Source organism: Homo sapiens, chromosome 1, assembly GCF_000001405.40.
Source record: "Homo sapiens chromosome 1, GRCh38.p14 Primary Assembly".
NCBI lineage: Eukaryota > Metazoa > Chordata > Mammalia > Primates > Hominidae > Homo > Homo sapiens.
Window position 1 is genome coordinate 50,271,218 of NC_000001.11, and position 22,706 is coordinate 50,293,923.

Below are 22,706 nucleotides of genomic sequence, written 5' to 3' on the forward strand. Positions count from 1 at the left end.
CACCTACTTCTACTCTTCCTCTCTCTCTCTCTCTCTCTCTCTCTCTCTATCTCTATCTCCCACCACCCCCTACCCCCCTGCACCACCACCCCGCCCCCCGCCCCCCACCCCCTGCCCTTCTCAAAAGAAGAAATACAATTTGGCATGAATTAATGATAAGCCTGCTTGGCCAATTACCAGAGCTAAGTGCTGTCCTGCTGGGAGTGGCTCCCACAAAGCACTAAGTGATGTTGGACTAGCCAAGGGGCCCCGCCCAGCCAGGCCTAAGGCCCTCCTGGGTCCAGGCTTAGAGGAAGCAGCTTTCCAATTAGCTCTTGCCAGACAGACTGGCTTCTCTGCACAGCAAATTGGGTTACAGAGCTCTCCTCCAGCTGTTCTCCTTGTCTGGTCCCCTCCGCCCCAGCAAAGAGGATGCTAATCAACTGTAGGCCAAGCCTGCAGATTTCAAGCACCCATGGAGAAAGGTATGTGCAAACCCAGACCCTGTCCCAATAAGGTGGCATTCCATAAGCCAGTAGATATGCCCTATACCAGTCAGACAATGGCCTCAGAGCCCTGAAATCCAGGCTTTTGAGCTAGTCACAGAAAGCAGTGCCTAAAGGAAAGAAGCTGAAGTCCTACACTTTCTGCCTGCCCATAGCTATCTCCCGCTCCCACCTCCCACCCCCACAATAAGGCAGTGTTAGGGCTGCCCCCTTGCCATCAGGCCGGGTTTTCTTTTTCTAATTTCCTTCTCCTCTAGCAATTCAAAGATAGCCCAGCTTGCTCTTTAAACCTGGAGAGAAGTGCTGAGGAGAGGGGAGCCAGGGACCTCAACATGAAGCGTCCTGGACCCTGCATCCCCTCTTTCTGGGCCAGCCTGAGTTCTAGCCCAGAGCTGGCATCCACTGTCCCCATGTCTCCAATATAAGGGCCTGGCCTGCTCTGCCACTCCCCCTAGTGGGCATTGCCACCTGACAGCACTGAACTTTCCCCCACAGAGAGTAAAAACACAGCACTTCACAGTTTACAAAATAATTTCAGAGACATTGTTTAACTTGATCCTCACAACTACTCTACTAGGTATGATGAGCAAGGGTTGTTATTCCCATTTAAGAGGTCAGGAAACAAATTTAGACAGGTGAAGAGAGAACTCAGAACCAGTTTGAAGCAGAGCTGGTCCTGAAGCTCAGGCTTCTCTCCAACCCACTGCTGCACTGGGGAGCATTCTCAGGTCCCCTTCATGGACAGTGTACCACTATTTGACTCAGAGCAATAGGGAAGGGTCTTAGCACAATTTACCCACATATCCATCCAACCATTCACCCATGCAGCACATATTTGTCAGCAGCTACCGTGATCAAGGTACTAGGGACACCAAAGTGAATTAAACCAAGTGTCTGCCTTCAGGGAGCCCACAGACTTGTTGGGAAAATAAACAGATAATGACAACACAGTGTGAACAGTATAATGATGGAGGTGCCCCCAGAGACTGGGAGGTGCTCAGGGCAGGCTCCTTGCCCAGAAGAGAGGTGACACCTGAACCAAGAAGAAGAACAAGTAGGAATTCACTAAGCAAAGATGGAAGGGTGGGCAGATGGAGAACATCCCAGGCAGAAGGAACTATAAAGAAAAGTGAAATCACAAGATGCCTTCAGGAAACTTTTCAGTAGTGCTGTAGCCTGGAGCATGAGGGGGCATAGAGGCATGGCATGGGGCTGAGATGTGGCAGGGCCAGACCATAAGCATTCATGCATGCCCAGCTGTTCAGGTCAAGTCTTTGCCAGGATGCAGGCTCTGCAAGGTGCTGGCTGCAATCCCACTAGCCAGGTTTATGGCCAAATGTTCTCATATCAGCCAGGGGGCTGAGCAGAGACAGGGCCTTTGGGGAGTGAGCAGCTGGTGATGCTGGAAAGTGTCTGCCAAGAGAATTCAGCTGAGAACACTTCCCATTCCCAAGAGGTCAAAGAGCCCTGTTGCTCCTCCCTAGTGGAGGCCCTGAGATCACACTGTCATTCATAATTCACTCAGCAAACACTCATTGGGCCTCTGCTTGTGCCAGGCTCTGAGCTAAGCTCTGGGGACACAAAAATAAAAAGGCATGGTCTCTGCCCTTGAGGAATGCACGGTTCTGGAGTGGAAGAACAGACTTGGAAGTTATTGCAGTACAGTGAGAGATGGGCAAAGAAGGGGAGCAGAAAATCCTTTATGGGAGCCAAAAAGGAGGGGGTGTTGAGCTAGGTTTTAGAGGATGGGTTAGAGTCTGTCATGTAGGAAAGGGCAGTCTAGAAAGTAGGAAGAGTGTATGAAGCATAGGCCATAAAGGGGCATTGAGGCGCAGGAGAAGTGGCTGTGTGTTGGGGTAGATTGTGGGAGATCAGACCAAAAGAAACTGGTTTTTACAGGCTGAGCAGGGATGTTCTCCTAAGGTCAGGTTTGGGTTTTATAAAGATGACTCTGGCAAAAAGAGTGACAAGCTGGGGGCTGAAGCAGAAGGATTAGGTCTGAGAAGCTAAGACAGAGTTGACAGGGCCAGGGAACTAACTGACTGACTATGTGAGGAGAGACATTCATTTGTATCTTGCTTTTTAAAATTGCCATGCTTAGCTAAGTGAACCTCTTCTGCAATGCAAATGTGAGGATTCAATAAGCTAAGGTAAGTGAAAGCCCACTGTACAAACCCCCACCCCTACACCCAGTGGGTATGGAGTCAACATTCAATAAGGCTCTGCTATAGCTGACTCTCTACATGATGCAGTGAATGAGTAATGAATGAACAAATGAATGAGAAAATTGATGGCCTATGGGTCCCCCAGCACGCAGCATCAGAACCACACAAGTCTCTATGCCCCACCAGAAGTTCTCAGAAAAGAAGGCCGGCTTAGTGGTGTGTGTTTCTCAGAGACACCCTCGGGGAAAGTCAATCTCAGCAGCTGCCTAGGGGTTTGAGGTCCAGCTGACTCTCCTTGGAGGATCTGGCCTTCATTCTTTTGGCAGATGTAAGGCAGTGGAGGAGTGATATGTCTGTGCCTGACTCTGGGAAGCCCTCATATCTGGGATACAGGTTTGGGCCTGGCTATACCAGCCTCACTGTGCAAATATCAATAAGACAGAAGACAACATGTGAGAAACAGAATAAAGCTCAGGGTAGTAATTGACATCATCTAGTCACCTACTACGCAGAGGCCTCCTGCTAGGTACATTATTTCTATTATCTCATTAAACATAGCAATCCTGGAAAAAGGAGGATTTATCCATATTTACTGATTAGGAAACTGAAGCATAGAGAGATGTAGCTTTTCCTAGGTCATACAACAATATTCTGGACCAAGTCCATCAATTTGTCTATTCTTGAAGCAACACATTACAGAAAGTTGGAAACAAAGTAAAAGAACTTACAATTTCATCATCCCAACACAGCAACTATTATTTTGCTTATCTCCTGCATGTTTGGTACATACTTGAGATTTTATTATTCATACAATTTGGTTTTTACTTTTCTCCTTATTTAACATTATATCATAAGCATTCTTTCAGATTACTATGTTGCCTTCAGAACCATTATTTTTCATGGCTACAGACTGTCAAATTGAGTGTAAACACCGGATTTTATTCAACCATTTCCAATGGTTAGGTACTTAAATTGCTTCCAATCATTTGATATTATAAATAATCAATCTTTTCTTTTATTTAGAATTGTCTTATTTTGGAAAGATTATTTCCTTAGAGCAGACGCCCAGAAACAGAAATACTAACACAAAAGGTATGAACATTTTTAAGTCTTTTGATACTTGCTACCAAATACCTTTCTTGTGGGGCCTTTCTCCTTCTCCCCCGTGTCTGGGTGCCTGATTTACCTCTCCCTCTCTCTGGTCCCCCTGGCAGAGGCACAACAACCCCCGGACCCTGTCTCCTCATCTATGAGATGGAGTGAATGACCCTCCTCTGCCAACCTCGTAGGCTGGAGAAAAAGTGATTCAAGACCCTATGACAGGCAATACCACAGAGTGGCTAAACAGCATAATGTTGGTGCCAGACTACCTAGGTTTGAAGCCCTGATCTCCTACTCCAGAAGCTGTGTAACCTTGGGCAGGTTACTTAACTTCTCTGTACCTCAATGTCCTTATCTGAAAAACAAGAGTGATGAAAGTAATAGCAACTTTTTAGGGCTGTGGATGAGGCTTTAAAGAACTATTTTATGCAGAAATCATGTAAGGAGAGCTGTGGTTATTATAAAGGTGATGTCTGATGTGGAAGGCAGCACTAGCAGAAAAAGCTTCAGCATTCCTTCCCACAGGGGCTGCCCCGAGGGAAGGGGGCAAGAGCCAGGTGCCTAACAGGCTTTTTGTAGAAACAGCTGATCAGCTCTAATGGCAATGACCACTACTCCCTCCCTGCAGCCTCCCCAGTGCGGGGTCTCAGTCTCTCTTGCCCGCCCCACCCACCACCACCACCTCCGCCCTCTGGCTGCTGTGGCCAGATCTTATCCCTTTTTCATCAGGCTGCCTAACTGACCGGAAAATGTAAACGCATCCCTAAACGCATGCAACTGCTCCCCACCCCCCAGCACTCTCCCCCTTTCCGGGAAGCCAGGCCCCAGCACCAGCCTGACAAGCAGCACTTAATTCTTTATTGAAAACCATTAACTGGAGTTCAGTTCCCTGAGCCCCAGTTTCAAATTACTCACAGGAAACGCCAGACCGGGAGAGTGGCTTTCAAGGGCAGAGCCATCTCCTCTAACAGACTGGCTCCAGAACCCTGGCTATGAGGAATTTTTTTATTTTGAGAGGCAATAACAACAACAAGGACACAGAAACAGCAGCAATAGCTTCAACCCCTACCACGCATGAGAGCTGACAAAGCCCCCTCCTCTTCCTCTCTTATTAACAATAGCCCAGTGCAGCAGGTCTGGCAGGAAGTAGTGCCACTCCCTGATAGATGAGAAAACTGATGGCCTCGGGGTCACACAGGCAGGCAGAAATTGAACTGGGCTCCAGATCCCCCTGCCAGTGAGCCCACAACCCCGGCCCTTCACAGACTTCACAGACCACCTACAGTGGGGCCTAACCTGTGGGAGGCACAGCAGGGGAGACAGGTGAAAAAGATGCGACACCTGCCTTGAGAAGCTACCTGATTGGGAGAGGGACGATGAAAAAGAGTCCTAGACTAGAGCCTCAGAAACCCTAGTTCTATGCTGGGTCTGCCACTAACTGCCTGGCACACTGTGGGTGTTAATTATCATTAATGGCACAGGCAGGAAGGAATAAGGCCAGGGGAAAATGGACAAGAGGAGTGAGGGAACGGAAAAACAAATGTGTCCTTGGTCACCTCTATCAATATTTCTAGCCAACCTAAAAGAAACTGTATTCAGTCATTCATTTTGAATTGCCTGAGGTCTTGTATGTGCCAAGCACTGAGAAAGTACTTTACAAATATTTCTTATTGAATTCTCCAAATAGCCTTTTGGAATAGGTACCATTATTATAACTATCACCATTGACCAATAAGGAAAGGGAGGCTCAGAGAGTTTAGGTAACTCATTCATGATTACACAGCAGTGTCAAGATTTGAACTCAGGTCAGCCTGACACCAAGATTCCCACTGCTCATTGTGTTACTATTAATAGTATCATTATGGTTCTATAAACAACTACACAGTGACCCAACAAGAGCAGAGAGAATAACAGGCCTGTGTGGGATGTCAAGGAAGTTTCCTCAGAAGCTGTAGAATCTGAGTTGAAGGATGGGTGAGACTCAGCCAAATGAAAAAGGCAGGGGAGAATGTTCCACGCAGGGACAGTAGCATAGGCCAGGGCCAGGAAGTATCAAAAGACACAGCATGTTAAGGCAAGTCATGAATTGCTGAAACATCTGAATTAAGCACAGAGAGTACAAAGGGACACTGGCCTCCAGGAGTGTACAGCCCCAGAGAGATGGAAATATGTCAGATGACTTGATTTTTGAGGTGAACTGGGTAAGAATTTTTATCCAAGAACAAACAGTGTTCTGCTTGTGTATCTCACTCACCTCTTCCATACAGCAGTCCTGAGAAGTAGCTGAACAAGGATGCCCTTGGCTGGGGCAGGCAAAGGGCTCTGGCCTCGGAGTCTAGGGGCCTGTTTCCCAGAGGTTGTGCTACTTACCCCCTCTGAATCTGGGTTTCCCTTCTCTACAAAGGGGTCACTGAGAGCCACTTCCTAGCACAGTAACTTCCAAGTTACTGTACTTTCCAGTAGCCTGGAAAGAATACATTGGGGTTTATTTTCATTTACTTCCTTTTAAAAATGTGGTCACTGAGGCTCAGAGACTTGTCTGCGGACACCTTCAGAAAATGCTTGATCTGAAATTTGATCTCAAATCTGATGGATTTCTCTGCCATGCTGTCACTTCCACCTACTGAGGCTAGTTTAGCCCTCTGAAGTCCAATACAATAAGCCTGCTTCTTCGTTCACAATACTCCCTTGGATGGATGAAGACAACAGCTGTGTCCCCAAATCTCCTCTTTCCAGCCAAACACTCCCAGATTTTCACCTAGTAGGATTTCCCAACCCTCAACAGGGCTTAGTTGCCCTTGAGGAAGAGACAGGAAAGAAGAACAATAGGAGTTGCCTAGTGCCCTGGCCAGGACTGAAGCATCCCCATCCTCAGAACCAGCAGCCAGGCACAGAGAGTATCAGCTGCAGCTAACTCCCCATGGAAAACAGCAGTCACAGCCTGTTTGCCTTCTCCAGTCCACAAACTGCCATGGCCAAGCTGGACACCAGCTTGGAAACCCAAGGGACCTGTCTCCATCCCAAACCTTGTCTCATCCCTGCCCCAGATGGCCCTTATTTGAGCTGGATCCATTTTCTTGGCCACCTTACTGAATGCGGTGCACACTCATTCAAGAAAATGCTGACCTCTGCTCCAAGCCGCCTTGTCGGCAGTTTCCCAGACATAGCTCGACTGTTTATTTATTTATTTTTGTGTTAGCAAAAAGGAGAAAATCACATTGGCCTAAAATGAATACTAATGAAATGCTTTCGTTAGCGTCCTTTGTGATAAGAATGAAAAATCGGATTTCCGCAGAATCACAAGCTATACATTTCTTTTCCCCAACTTTTTTTTTTTTTTTTTTTTTTTGCCCTTTCCTCTAACAGAAAGATTAGGGACAGCCTGGAAGGAGAGTAAAGTCATTTCATTAAAAATATCTGCATTTTTAAGGGCGACTTTGTTGCAGAGGGACGTGGCTGTGCAATTTCTCCAAACCCACTTTTCTCAGCCTGTAAAGCAAATGTACCTATTTGTCCTCTGCTGCAACAATGCCAGCTGCATTCAATCAACTGAGAAGCTGCAAGCCATAAACCTTCTTCCCCAGCTAAGGGGGGAAGGGGGGTGGGGAGAGGGAGCAAGCAAGAAAGGAGGCATGCCATAAAAATTCATCAGAATAATGTAGGGATGAGACAAGCTCCGATCGCGGGCAAGCAATCAACCAATCACTCATTCCGTGGCATTTACAGCACGTCTCATTCCCCTGTTCCTTAAGGACAATTGATTTTTCCTGATTCCATTAGCATAACAGCGTGGAAAATGTCTGCAGTGCAATATTTCTGGAAAGTTCCAACAAGTGGGCTGGGCACTGGAGTGTGACCATCTCCATAAAGCTTCCTTAGGCTCTGCGGCAGACGCTGTCATAGCCGCCACAAAAGGCCCAGAGAGAATGACGCAGTCTCCAAAATTTGGGGGCCAAGGGCACCTCAGGGGTGTCAAAGAAGGTAATTGGCACCGACATGAAACCTCTTATCTTCTTGTCCCTGAACACAGAAGCACTCTCTTCTGCAAGATGTGATATCATGGGGTGGTAAGAAGCAAGTAAAACCCACCTCGCCTAGGAGTGACTATGTCACACATACTGAGTCCATTTGTAACCTTCTAAAGCTCCTGCACTTAGAAGCTGAGGAAAGAATGCTTATTGTGATTACTCCTTTGTGTGTGAACAAGAAGGCTGCAGGGGTAGGTGCCCAGGGGCTTTACTCTGCTTTTCTGTCAGCTAGGTCTCCACCACATTCTCCACTGAGACCACATATGCATAAGAAGGGAATGTGAGGCATTTGGAACCATGCAGACCCGGGTTCAAATCCTGCCTCTTCCTTTTATTTGTGTGTTTGGCCATGGGCCACAGGTAATTAACCTCTCTAATCCTCAGTTTCTTGTTATAAAATATGAAGACCTCATTACTTCACAGGTTGTTGGGAGAATTAAATGAGACTATGTAAAAAGCACTTAGCATAGTGCTGATGCGTAACAACAGCTCAACAAATCAGATTCTCCTCCTTCCCTGTTTCTCTGCATTTCATTTTCCTCCTGCCCACCAGCAATATAATTCCCTCAGTATCAGCTTCTGCTGGTCAAGAAAGTGAAACTTTCCAATGCCAAAAGAAAACATATAAAACACAGAATATTTCCATCTGCTTTTGCAAGCAAGATTAAAACCTGGCTATGCCTTTTTAAATGTGCTTTGGGAGACTTCTTCTTATTCAGTCTCCTGAGTCATTCCCTATCTCTTCTCTCACCCCTCCTCTATTCTCACATTACACCAGAAATCTCTCTAAAACACACGTGACCTTGTCACACCCCCGCTTAAAACCCCTCAGTAGCTCCTCACTGCCATCTTCTGTCTTCAAGATTCACCTCAGGCTGTGTCTCCTCCAGGAAGCCTTCTTTGACCCTCACTCTCCTTTAGGATCCCACAACCCCTGTGCACATTCTCACACTCTGTGTCCATGCTTTGTCCATCCTAGACTGTGGGCTCCTTACGGGCAGTTTTCTAGTTCCATGTCCCCAGAACCTGTCATCTCACCTTACGTTTAGTAGATGTTCAGTTGATGTTTGTTGAGAAAACCAACTTACAAAGGCAGTGCTGATCTCATCACCAAGGCTCTAGGTTTATTTAGCTCAGTGTTTACGGAAGGCAGTGTGGGTGCTGGCCGTGGTCCTGAATCTGTAGGGGCTGAGGAGAGAAAATGTAATCAAGAAAACTTGGGTGTGGTGAATACAGTCCTTATTCATTCAAATAACCTCCAGACAGATGGCATTTTGTTTGGAAAGTGGAAGGAGGGCAGGGATTCCGGAAACTTCAGTTTCAGTCCTGGCTCTGCTGTGAACTCTCTACTCAAGACAAAAATCTTTCTGGATTTCCGTTTTTTCATACGTCAAGTGGAAATAAAACCTGACCCTCCCATGTCACAAGATTGTTCTAAAGAATACAAAAGATGATGTCTGTGAATCTCTTTGTAATCTTTTTTAAAGTGCTTGCCATGGAAGACCTCAAAGATTCCTCCCAGCCCTTTCAGTGCTCACTGGTTGAGAGTTATCTACACTGACCACCTCCAATTCTTCACCTCCAGCTTGCTCCTTGGTTCACTCCCATGTGGCTTCTGGACTCATCATCCTGACAAAACAACTCTCAATAATGACCTCATGCTGCTAAACCTATTCTTCAATCCTCATTATACTTGCTCTCCTAGGACTATGTTTTTAGCACTCCAGCACTTACCCCAGGATATAATTATACATTCATTTATGTGCCTGTTTTATTAATACTTTCTCTTTAACTAGACTCCATGAGGACCCAGAGTTCCATGAGTGAACTCCATGAGGCTACAAACTGTGTCTGGTTTTGCTTGTCATTGCACTCCCAGGTCCTAGTAAAATGATCACAAGAAGCAGCCTCCCCCATGACTTGGAAGGTAGGCAATGTGCCCAGAGCAGACCTGGCCATGTCCAACACTGGCAGATACCAAAAGAAATCCTGGAACCTCTATGGAAGTCCCAGATTCAACCTTCCTGTGCTCCACTGCCAAGGCTTCTGCCTGATGTGACTTGGAGCTCTGATGAGGCCTCTGCCTCTTGAGAAACACAGAGAGTACAAGGAGGACTGCATGGTGCCCAGCAGCATAAGCACAAGAGGTGAGTATGTGGGGTAAGATCTGGAGCACCACTAAGTCCAGCTGCCCTGCTGTGTAGAGAAAGAAAACTAAGGCCAGAGAAGAAATGTAATCTAAGATCTTACAATGAGTTAATGTCATTCACAGCCCAGAAAGAGCTAGAGGCAGGAAATGTGATCTCTCAGATCTCCTATGATCCTTGCTCTGGGATACTACGAGCCCTGGGCTGCCCTCTACTATAACACATGTCTGCCTGGGTTGCCATTGTCTGTTCACATGTTTACCTTCTCCTGGAGGACAAGGAGAGTGTCTGCTGAATCTTTGTATTCCCAGGGATAGCCCAATGCATGACACATAGTAGGACTAAACCAATGTTTCTTGACTAGACACTGGATAGCAAAGAGATTAGGAGAGTGGATGCCAAATGTTAAGAAGGCTGACTGGGAGCCAGCTCAGAATCCCTCTTAGCCTGAGACCCACCCACCCCCAAAGCCCAGAAATAGGAAATAGTCAGTCTCAAGCCTGAACATCCCCAAGATCCAGTAGTGGGCTCCATGGTGAAGTCCCTAAAATAGATCTGCTACTGAATTCCTGCTGAATTTCCAGGCTGTTCGTCCAAGAAAGCCAGTGCCATCCTGCAACCCCCTGGGAAGAAGAGAGCTTTAGAGTTTATGATTTGCCCTTACAGGTAACACAAAGCACAGAACATTATTTGCATTTGGAAGCCAGGGAAACTGAGGTTCTTTCATCCATTCCATAAGGATGTAGAAGCAAGTTATATTATTCAGGATTTTCCAGAGAAACAGAACCAATTAGATAGATAGATAGATAGATAGATAGATAGATAGATAGATAGATAGATAGATAGATGATAGATAGATAGATAGATAGATAGATAGATAGATGATAGATAGATAGATAGATAGATAATAGATAGATAACAGGGGATTTATTATGAGAATTAACTCATACGATTATAGAGGCCAGGAAGCCCCACAATATGCTGTCTGCAAGGTAGAGAACCAGGAATGTCAGTGGTATGATTCAGTCAGAGTCTGAAGGTCTCAGAACGAGGAGCTCTGAAGTCCAAACGCAGAAAAAAAAAGGATGTCCCAGTTCAAGTAGAGAGCGTGAATTTGCCCTTCCTCCACCTTTTTTTTTTCCATTCAGGCCCTCAGCGGATTGGACGATGCCTGCCCACACTGATAAGGGAGATATTTTTTACTCGTCTACTGATTCAAATGTTTACGTCTTCTGGAAACACCCTCACAAACACAACAAGAAGTAATGTGTTACCAGTCATCTGGGTATCCCTCAGCCAGCCAAGTTGACACATAAAATGAACCATCACATAGGGGCTTTGCAGTCAAACCCACAACTGTGAATTCCAGCTCCTCCACTTACAGCCATACATTCTGAGTCTACGATGTGGATTTGAGTGGTTATAGAAGATATTGACTCTACCTTCAAGGAGCTTACAATCTAGTGATGGAAAAAATATGTTTACAAGAATTCTAGTGCCAGGCAGAATGTGATTCTAGTGGGAGGCTCACAGCCTACTGGGAGAAAAACTTAATGGAAAAGTTTCTCATTTGAGTCTTTAAAAATGCATGGGATTTTAATGGCAAAGAAAGGAAAACATTCCTGGTGAAGACAGAAGAGAGCATGGGGCATGTTCCTGGAATGGGAAGTAAGTCTATTTGGCTGGAAGGCTTAGGGATGTGTGGAATATAAATGAGATCTGAGGCCATGAAAAAGGAGTTGGGAGAAAGAGAGATTTGAATGCCACTCAAGCGCTCAGAAAGGTTAAATAACTTGTCCAAGGACACAAAGAATCAGTGGAGGATCTAGGACTGGGCTTCAGGACTCTTTCCTTTCACCCCTCTGCCCTCATCTTCAACATTAATAAGGCATAGTGGCTGGCAGGGGCCGGGGGCTCTCCCATTATAAAAGCACGTGAAAAAGAAACAGTCAGAATTAGTGTGGCTGTAGGGGAGGAGCTCAGAGCCGTTTGACAAATTAAAAAGGGAATTTCAGGATGAAAGTAAGTAAGTATGTTCTGTCCCACATCTCTACAAGTGGCATATTCTATTGCCCATCAAAGCCATGCTTAGAATGAGTATTAATCTTTGCTATGGGTACATCATGTTAATATAGTTATCATAAATTAAACATCCCCACACACATTTTTTCTTCAGAAATAATTACCTTTGCTAAGACTTTTCATGGAAAATGCAAAGGTAAATTTCAGGCCCACTCACAACTTCTGAATTTTTGCAAATTTTGAATGTTAGTAGAGAGAAACTGAGATTGGAACCATGTTGATTGATTGAAATATTCAGCATCTGCAGAATAGTCTATCAGAATGTTTCAGAATCTCCCAGGCTCTAACATATTTGAGCAGGGACTCAGCCAGACCCAGGTCCAAGGACCCACTCAGATTCTACCTGTCTGTATGACCCTGAGACCCTCACACCACCTCTCTGGACCCACCTCATATCCTAAATATAAAATAAATCAGATAATGGATTTGGAGTCCATCAGGGATCTCATAATCTAGAGGGGGAGACAGCAAAGGAATAAAGCAGGTGAAATAGGATGCCCCAGCTCTGCAGGGAGGATTCCAGGCCAGAGGTAGATAGCTATTTGGGTGTTGATGGGAGGCATGAGGCCATCTTTTCCTCCTCACACCCTGAGAGGTACTAAACCTAGGCTTTTATGTAATTATGTCTTACTATTGTAAGGCAGGTTATTATGTCCCCATTTTACACAAGAGGTGAATGATGCTCAGAGAGGTTAGTTACTCACCAAAGGCAAAAGAAGGGGCAGATGCAGATTCAAAGCAACGCCTCTCTAAGGGTAAAGCATGAATGCCCCGTCTCTACACTATGCCACCTTCTGCGTGAAGTCTGCTGGGTGTCACTGGAAATCTCATCTGCACATCCACCTTGGAATTCTGGGATATCAGCAGTCTTTCTACAGTGGGGCTCCAAGAACCTTGGGAGTAATGGCAAAGAGAACTTTATGACTGAGGCTCATGTAAGAGTCACAAATTAGAAGGGGAAATTCAGACTGTATCCACCCAGGATGGAGGACTAAGGCAAAGGCGCCATATGAGGTAAAAGAGCATGAAATGCAAGGGTCTCCCTAGGGAAACTAAAGAAGCCCCAAGGTTGGGAGGGGAGCTCCAGCTCAGGAGTTCAAAAGCAAAGTGGTGAGGAGGGGTTGTGCTGGTCCCAGGCCAAGGCTCTCAGGCACTTCCTGCTTCCCACCAGGATGGGTGAGACTCAAAGTGTGGCTGAGGACAGGGAGGGCCTAAATGTACCTGGCTGTGGAGGGGTCTGAGATAGAGGAAGAAGCTGAAAGTTGGGCAGAGTCTGATGCTCATCCTCTTAGGAAGGCACACGCCTGATCAAGGAAGAGCAGTACCCAACACTTCTGCATCCTTCAAAACCCTACCTTGACTTCACTGGTGTTAAAATGATTTCCATGAATTCTTCCCTAGATTTAATTCATCCCTCCCTCTGAATTTCTGTTGAAACATCTTCTTGACCACATTGCCCTTCTCAATGTACATATCTATCTCCTTGTCCAGAGTGGGAGATTCTCTGGGGCACAGACCTACATCTGAGGCATCTGTGGGTCTCTGGGGCCTCGCACAGAATCCTGCATGAGTACAAGCTCAGGGACTTTTTGCTGAAGTGGATGACAAAGAGAGCAAGCATCCAAAAACGACTGCAGAGGCATGAGAAGAACGTGTGTGTGTGTGTGTGTGTGTGTGTGTGTGTGTGTGTGTGTGTGTGTAGAAGGGATGCTTTGGGAGGAGGGACATGAGAAAAGGAAAGCTTTGTCTAGGGAGAGGAAGAGGCCAGGCTCTGCCGCTGACCCCTGTGGGGAGCAGAGCTCATTTCTGAGCTCCCTAGGACTGAGCTGAGCCTCTTGTCTGTACCAATTCCAGAAGTTGTTCAGCTGCCTTCACAGCTTTTAGGTGCTGTAATGGGGTTCGTCAACAATTACTGGTGTTTTCTAATGAAGTTCAACTAGTTAAAACCATCCTCAAGCTAATGAACATTGTTGGGGACTTCCAGGAAAAAAATGCAGATGGACACCCCATCCTTTGCCAAACAAGTCCTCAAATATTTAAATTGGGGTGATTGAGCAGACTCTTCTTCACAGCCATCAGAGGGATCTTCCCTAAGCCTGTCCACATCATGGCCAAACTTAAATTTGAATTTTAAGGCAGTTAGCCCTCTGCCTCTGCCATATTGCTCTCCTCACCCTTTGCCAAGCATAGTTTGCTCACTTCTGTGTCTTTGCAGATGCTGTTCCCTCTGCTAGAAATTCCTTCCCCATCTCCCCATCCCCACTTCATCTGGCTCAGCTGTCCCAAACACAGGGTCTGATGCATTTTAGGAATTGCCTTACTTTGGGTTTCCCCAGAAGCAGATTCTAAAGCAAGGACTCAAGTGCAGGTAGTGAATTTGGGAAATGACCCCAACTGACACTGAAGGGACATTGAGAGGTGAGATAGAGTAGGGAAAGCACCAACAAAGATGCATTTTTCAAGCAAGTTACCTCCATGAGTAACTAGAACCTAACTCTGGGAGCCAGTGTAGGACTCCTGTCTCAGAGTTATCCCACCCAAAGGAAGAAGTGGGGTTTCTGTCCACCAGCTCCTATACACATTGGCTGAGAGCTGCTCTGGGCAGTGGGGGCCAGAGGGAGGTGTAGTGTTAACGCCCCAGTACTTCTAGCCTGCCCCTTGTGCTCAGAATTGGTCAATGCCAGGTGCATGTGAATGGGCACTGATGGCATCTGCTTCAGGCACATAAATTTTGCTGAATGAATGATTGACACACAAACAACTCAATAGTGATAATAATCATAACTAATATTTATTGTTTGGTATGTGTCGGGCACAGTTTAAGTACTTTGTACCTACCCACTTTCTGCATCCTTTTAATAACCCTTCAAGGTAAGCTATTATTACGTTCCTTTTACAGAGAAACAAACAGCAACACAGAGAGCTGAGTAACTTGCCCAAGGTCATGCAGCTAATGATTGACAGAGCTAGGATCGAACCTTCGCAATCTGGCATGGAGGTGCTGCAATCACTCTACCTGCACACTCAGGAGATGCTCCACCTCAAAGGCCTCTGCCATCTCTGACACTCCCAGTCTTATAATTCAAACAACTTCCTCCAACCTCCCAGGACCACCTCACTCTGGTGCACAGACCCTCATGGGCTCCATTTGTCTATTCCATGAAGCAAAAGCAGCCCCAGCATCCTGAGGGGAGCTTGTCTTCCTACCTTCCACTCTACCCACTGAGCTAAGGATCTCAACACATTGGCTACAGGAAGCTCCAACCCAGAGCCGGGTCTGGGAGTCAGATTCATCCTAGCTCTACCATCTCCAGCAGTGTGGCCTTTAGCAAGTCACTTAACTCATTCAAGTCTCAGTCTCCTCATCTATAAAATGATGATCACAATCCCTGCCCTAAAGGGTTGTGGTGAGCTTGTGGGAAGGCCCAGGCATATAGTGAGTGCTCAAGGACAGGCAGTTTCACATTCTTTGCTCTGAAGAAGTACACAAATATATTTCCATTAGGGTAAAACAAAAATATCTTAATGTTCACTTTATTCTAAGCCCTGGAGGCCTTTAGCAGGGCTGACAACTTTGTCTGGAGGATGGTAAATATTTGTCTATTTCAGAGGCAGTATTTATCTTCTAAGGCATTTGTGCCAGTCCCCGTGCTGACAAGCAACTTGTTTATTTATTACCTTAATAACAAATACATTGTCAGGCCTGGAGGCTTTGCACACACTGACTTAAGGATGGGCCGCTTTGAGCCCCAGCCAGCCCAGGCTCTGTCCCGCTCTGGGGGGTCTTGGGAGCTGCGGGAGTAGGGCAAGAAGGGACCTGGCTGCCTTCCATGTCCTGCCATTTATTCTTTCATTTGTTCTACCCAAACCCCTCCCCTTATCGAGCCCATACTGTGAGACTTGCCATGGGCTGGCCCTGGGCTGCAAGGAAGAACCACACACAGCCACTGTCCTTAAAGGGTTCAAAGTCTAGAAAGAGGGAGATGATGGTGATAAAAATAATAAGGATAATAATAATAATAATTAATAATGGCCAGGTGCAGTGGCTCACGCCTATAATCCCAGCACTTTGGGAGGCCAAGGCGGGCGGATCACGAGGTCAGGAGATCGAGACCATCCTGGCTAACAGGGTGAAACCCCATCTCTACTAAAAATACAAAAAATTAGCCAGGCGTGGTGGCGGATGCCTGTAGTCCCAGCTACTCGGGAGGCTGAGGCAGGAGAATGGCGTGAACCTGGGAGGTGGAGCTTGCAGTGAGCCGAGATCACACCACTGCACTCCAGCCTGGGTGACAGAGTGAGACTCCGTCTCAAAAAATAATAATAATAATAATAATAAATAATAATAATAGCAGTAAACACTCTGTGCCAGGCACTGTGCTAGGTACTTTACACACATTGACTCATTTAATTCTACTTATAAGTAGATACTATTATCCCCATTGTATTGATGAGGTAACTAAGGCATAGAGAGTCAAGGGGCTTACTCAAGCTTACCCCTACAAAACTCATTACAGTACACAGCAGGGGTAGATACCAAAACTACATAATAATTATGCAATAATAATACTTACATTTTTTATGATAGCCGCAAGGCTTCCTGGCTATTTTTCCCACATACCAGACACACTCCTGCCTCAGAGTCTTTGTGTTTGCTGTTTCCTCTTTCTAGAAGTCTTCCCCCAAAATCCACCTTGCTCACCTACTTCAAATCTTTATTCCAAGTCACCTTTTCAGTGGCACCTCCTCCATTTACCATTGCTGCCCAATCTGACCCTCCAACCTCCTTTGCTTAATCAGCTTCCATAGCACTTATCACTGTAGTATGTCCTACTTTTGTTTGCCTCTTCCCACTCAAGTGTACTGCCATGGGGCAGGGTTTTTTCTGCCTTGTTCTCTGCTACATTCACAGTATTCACAGACAAGAGCCTGGCACATAGGAGGCATTCAGTTTGTTGAGTGAATGAATTATTCCTTACGGTTTAATCTCTACAGCCCTCCCCTGAACTGCTGGCATTTCTCAGGATCCAGACACTGCTTCTCCTTTCTGGTGTCACCAACACACTCTCCTTGGAGGATTTCACACCTTCCAGGGATTCAGGTTCCAGCCTCCTCTGAGGACTCTCAGATCTTTGTCTCTAGACCAGATCTTGCTCTTGTGTTGACCTCTTTAGGTAAGCATCCAGGAGACTTCACCAGGGCTCCACCTAAGTCAGAGTCCAAAGCCTTCTCACCACCTTCTACCCACATGCACCCCTCCACCTGGGGAACCAAGTCCCAGTCACCCAAGCCAGGAGCCTGGGGGTCAAGCTTCAACTCCTGCCCTCCTTCATCCCACTATCAACAGTCCCAGGTTCTAAAAAGCATCTCTGGTCTTCCCCTTCTCTGTCACCACCTCAATTCAGGCCATTATCAAAAGGGGACTATAGCTCCAGCCTCCCTCCGGGACTGCCACCAGTCCCTCCCTGTGAAACCATCCCCTATGGTGTTTCTAAAACACCAGCATGCCCATTTAACTTCCCTGCTCCAGGCTCTTTAGTGGCCACCCATTGCCTACTGACTAAAGGCCAAGGCCATAGCCCCAACCTACCTTCCCAACCTTATTATCCCAGCCTTGGCATTCCCCCTTCCCCAAACACATCACGCACCCACACCTGTACTTGGCTCACTCTTTCCACCTGAAATGTCTGTGCCCCTCTCCTCTGTGTGTAACACGCCTCCTCACCTTTCATGATCCAACTTAAATGTCACCTCCTGCATGCATCCTTCTCTGAGAGGAGAGGAGGGGCATTGTGAGGACATGGACACAGGAAAGAATGAGACAGGTTTGGGCAATGGACCTTGCAGCTTCAGGGACCCTCCATCAGAGCTGGGCTCCTGGAATCTCCCGTGGGTGGTGAACTTACCACTGGCTTCAAGGTGGGGGTTGTAATTGGTCAGTGTGGGTCACAGACCTGACAGTGGGTCACAGACCTGACAGACACACAAAGCACCTGGACCCTCAAGAGCTCATGTCAGAGGTGTCTGGTGCCTGAGACCATGGGGACTACCAACCACATGATACGCTCTGGGGAAAAGACCTTCCAGATATCTGAGGTATCCTCTCCTGCTGCTGATCACGGGAGGCCAGGGCCCCAACAGTGATCCTGGGAGCTAGTGTGAGGCGGTATGGTGTGGTGGTTATGCCCATAGAGATCCTAGAGCTAGGCTGTCTGGGTTTGAATCCTGGCTCTACCACATTCTACTGCTGAGGCCTTGGATAAATTACAAAAATATTCTGTGCCTCAGTTTCCCTATCTAAAAAAGAAGAGTATTCATTGCACCTACCTTATATGGTCATCATGAAAACTAAATGACTTACCACAAATCAAACATGTAAAATATAGTAAGCATTATTTAGGTATGGTTATTATTGATGTCATTATTCACACTGTGGTTTGTGGTTTGACAGGCGAAGCCCAGAAATGAGACAGAGCAATGACTGGGCATTGCCTTCCAGGAGGGGAGTGGCTTGAAGGGAGTGACCTTGGGGCCAGGTGGGTCTCCTCTGTGTCATTCTTCAGGACTCAGCTCCAACGCACGCTCTCCATTATTCAAGTAGCCCTCCCTGATCCTGGCCCTCCTGAGGTCCCCTGCAGCCCCCCACCTCTGTATCACCCTGTGTTGTCATTATCTGCTTATGTGTCTGTCCCCACACCCAGGCTGTGAGCTCCAAACTGGCATGGTCCACCCCAGTGCAGCTCTTGGAGCCCCAGTGCCTTTCTTGGTGCCAGGCCCACAACATATGCTCCACAACTGAGCCGAGCTGCCAAGTCCTCCCCAGCCCAGAGCCTGTGGCCTGAAATCTAAAGCCTTTAATGCCTGCCTCAGAGCTGGGTGCCACAGGAGGGATCACGCCCTCAGACCTGGACATCTTGGGGGAAGGTTTGTTCCTTTCCAGAGAGTAATGCCTCCAAAGCCACTGAGACTGCTCATGAGCTGGAATTCAAGACCTGGGAAAAACCTAGGGTGTGTGTCTGGTAGAGAAGGATGGGGGCAGGGCCCACTCCCTGTGAGAATCTTCCCTGGGTAAAACTGGACATTTAACAACAGGCTCAACCCAAGGCACTGACCAATCTGGAGACCCTGCTATGCTCACCATTAACCCTGCACTTGCTTGACCATGGGAGGGCTGAGGATCCTAGAGGAGATGACAAGACAGCTATTTGCCAGCCAACATAAAAATATTTCAGTATTTTGACAACCAGCAGGGCTCTATTTGTACAGCCCAGCTATTAGACCTGAATACAGCAACAAAGGAGACTCAAGCTCTTGTCCTCCAGGAATTTACTGCCCAGTGGGTTGCTGGGGAGCCAAGGCTGAGAGACAAGCAAGCAGTCATCACACAATGAGACAAATGCTATAAAAGAACTGCATGCAAAATGCTATGAGAGTCCAGTGAAGGAGGAGTGCCCAGGCTTGGATGAATCTGGGGCTATTGAAGAAGGAGGAGGTATTTTGGAGGCCTTGGAGTTTTAGCCAGCTAGATTAAGAGGAACAGTCACTGCAGGCAGTGAGAACAGCAAGGACAAAGGCCTGGAATTGGGCAGGTATGGGGCATGTTGAGGGAACAAGGCCGGTAAGGAATGTAGGAGACAATGGAGGAGGAGCAGGCAGGGGTCAGACTGTGAAGAGTGAGACTCATATGCCCCATCAAGAAGTTTGGAGTTTTCCACAAGTGCCACAATAAACATACGTGTGCATGTGTCTTTATAGCAGCATGATTTATAATCCTTTGCGAATATGCCCAGTAATGGGAGGACTGGGTCAAATGGTATTTCTAGTTCTAGATCCTTGAGGAATCGCCACAGTCTTCAACCATTGTGTCCTCAACCATCATCCATCTGTTGTTAAATTTCCAATTTTATCCAAGGAAGACTCTCACAGGGAATGGGCCCTGCCCCCATCTTTCTCTACCACACACACACCGTAGGTTTTTCCCAGGTCTTGAATTCCAGCTCGTGAGCAGTCTCAGTGGCTTTGGAAGCATTCCTCTCTGGAAAGAAAGAGAAACCTTCCCCCAAGATGTCCAACCATTGTGGAAGACAGTGTGGTGATTCCTCAAGGATCTAGAACTAGAAATACATTTGACACAGTCATCCCATTACTGGGCATATATCCAAAGGATTATAAACCATGCTGCTATAAAGACACATGCACACGTATATTTATTGAGGCACTATCCACAATAGCAAAGACTTGGAACCAACCCAAATGTCCATCAATGATAGACTGGATTAAGAAAATGTGGCACATATACACCATGGAAGGCTATGCAGCCATAAAAAAGGATGAGTTCATGTCCTTTATAGGGACATGGATGAAGCTGGAAACCACCATTCTGAGCAAACTATCATAAGGACAGAAAAACAAACACCGCATGTTCTCACTCATAGGTGGGAATTAAACAATGAGAACACTTGGACACAGGGTGGGGAACCTCACACACCAGGGCCTGTCGTGGGGTGGGGGGATGGAGGAGGGATAGCATTGGGAGATATACCTAATGTAAATGACGAGTTGGCGAGTGCAGCATACCAACATGGCACATGTATACATATGTAACAGACCTGCATGTTGTGCACATGTACCCTAGAACTTAAAGTATAATTAAAAAAAAAAAGAAATTTGGAGTTTTATTCAATTGGCAGAGAAAAGCCAAAAGTGTATTTTAGATAGGCGAGTGACATGGCTGGATTTGGCAAAAAAACTAAATCTGGCTTCAATGTGGAGAGTGGGTTGGAGGGGGCCAGATGGGAGGCAGGGGGGCCAAGCAGAGGCTGCTGCAGGGCCCCCATTAGGGAGAATGTGGAGTGGCCAGTGAGACAGTTGAAAGATGGGGGGCATAAGTGAGCAGCATCTTCTCAGAAAAAAAAATCAGCCACATTAGGCCAGTCTTGGTCAAAAGGAGTAGTTAATCTTCTGGATGGAGGGAACCACAAAGCATCCGAGAGCCAATGGGATCCTGATAGATAAGGAATTTAATCCTCATGCATTTAGCCAGACCTGGGAACAACAAACAGGGGCAGGTTATCGGCTGGGTCCCCGTAGTAGGCTCCCACGCCATGACTATCTATCTGACTCGCCCATTATAACCCCCAGACCTTGAAAAAGACAGGAAGAAGTAGCTCCAACTCACTGCACAAGGCTCAGTCGCCATTTATCTTTCAACAAGTGGCTCTGTGGGTCAGCATTTGTCATTCGACCCATCAGAGAACAGCTGCAAAGCATGGACTCGGAAGGCCGTGGTTTGAGGCTGAGCCACGGAATGAGTTCTGGGCCAGGGGTCCTGCTGCTGCCACTCACTGGCTGTGTCAAAGGGGACAAAGTCAATCCCCTGCATCTCAGCCTCAGTTTCCTCATCTTGAGAGGACTGTTATGCATGTCACCTGAGGATGGCACCTCTGCTTGCTGTCCATCTTCTGCTTTGAGGTAATGGGCCAGCTACCCAGCTTCTCAGCTGGCACAATGACAAAAGCAACTATTCATTAAGCACCTAGTGTGTGCCAGACTCTGCGAAGGACACTATAAACACATACATGCACACACACACACACACATACACACACAGACACACACACACCCCAAACCCCTCCAATGCAGACAGACACTATTATTACCATTTTAGAAATATGAAAATAAGGCCGGGCCCAGTGGCTCACACCTGTAATCCCAGCACTTTGGGAGGCTGAGGTGGGTGGATCACTTGAGGCCAGGAGTTCCAGACCAGCCTGTTCAACATGGTGAGACCCCATCTCTACTAAAAATACAAAAAAAGAAATTAGGTGGACGAGGTGGCACATGCCTGTAATCCCAGCTACTCGGGGGTGGGGCTGATGACCAAAATGAATCTGGGAGGCGGAGGTTGCAGTGAGCTGAGATTGTGCCACTGCCCTCCAACCTGGGCAACAAAGCAAGTCTATATCAGAAAAGAAAAGAAAAGAAGGCAGAGGAAGGAAGGAAGAAAGGACGGAAGGAAAGAAGGAAGGAAGGAAGGAAGGAAGGAAGGAAGGAAGGAAGGAAGGAAGGAAGGAAGGAAGGAAGGAAGGAAGAAAATGAGACTCAGAGAAGTTCAGTCTTGTTAAAGACCACACAGGGAATAAAGGGCAAACCTGGGATTTAAACATAGATTTGTTGGATGCTAATATGTACAAGTTTCTGCAAGACTAGGCAGACTAGGCAGGTATGAGAATGTGAATGGGACTCAGACGGACTCAGGGCTCCTTGTCACATTCAGCAAACTGGAGGGCCCTTCCACTCCCTCAGGGCTTGCCCTTCTCTCTGAAATATACACAAACCACCTGAAATGGCACACTAACCATCTGCCCTTTCATCCTTTAAAAAAAGTCTTTCTACTTCCCAGTGGAAAATGAAAATATGATTATGGCTCCACCTCCTTATTGTTCTTATAGTTCAGTGATGAAGAGTTTTGACGTTGTTATCATTCAAACCTGTTACTTTCTAGTTGTGTGACCTTGGACAAGTTGATTAACTCCTCTGAGCTTTGATCCCATCATACATAAAGTAAGGACAATGACAACAATAATCTCCTCCTCATGGATTTGTAGTTAATTCATAGGGATCATTTTGCTCCAAGCCTGGCCCACAGTAACAACAGTATCCACAGCACAGATTCTAGACTTAGACTGGCTGGATTCC

At 46.7% G+C, this 22,706-nt stretch overlaps 1 long non-coding RNA gene across 6 annotated transcripts in view; it reads right to left on the reverse strand.

Moving 5' to 3' along the window:
- The window catches only part of LINC02808 (long intergenic non-protein coding RNA 2808), a 55,193-nt gene that overhangs the window by 5,286 nt on the left and 27,201 nt on the right, over positions 1-22,706 (reverse strand). For all 6 annotated transcript variants that reach the window (XR_947322.3, XR_947318.3, XR_947317.3 and 3 more), the window contains 2 exons: positions 12,713-12,901; positions 8,818-8,967 (listed from right to left, as the gene is read on the reverse strand). This is a non-coding gene — a long non-coding RNA (long intergenic non-protein coding RNA 2808). The remainder of the gene's footprint in view (positions 1-8,817; positions 8,968-12,712; positions 12,902-22,706) is intronic.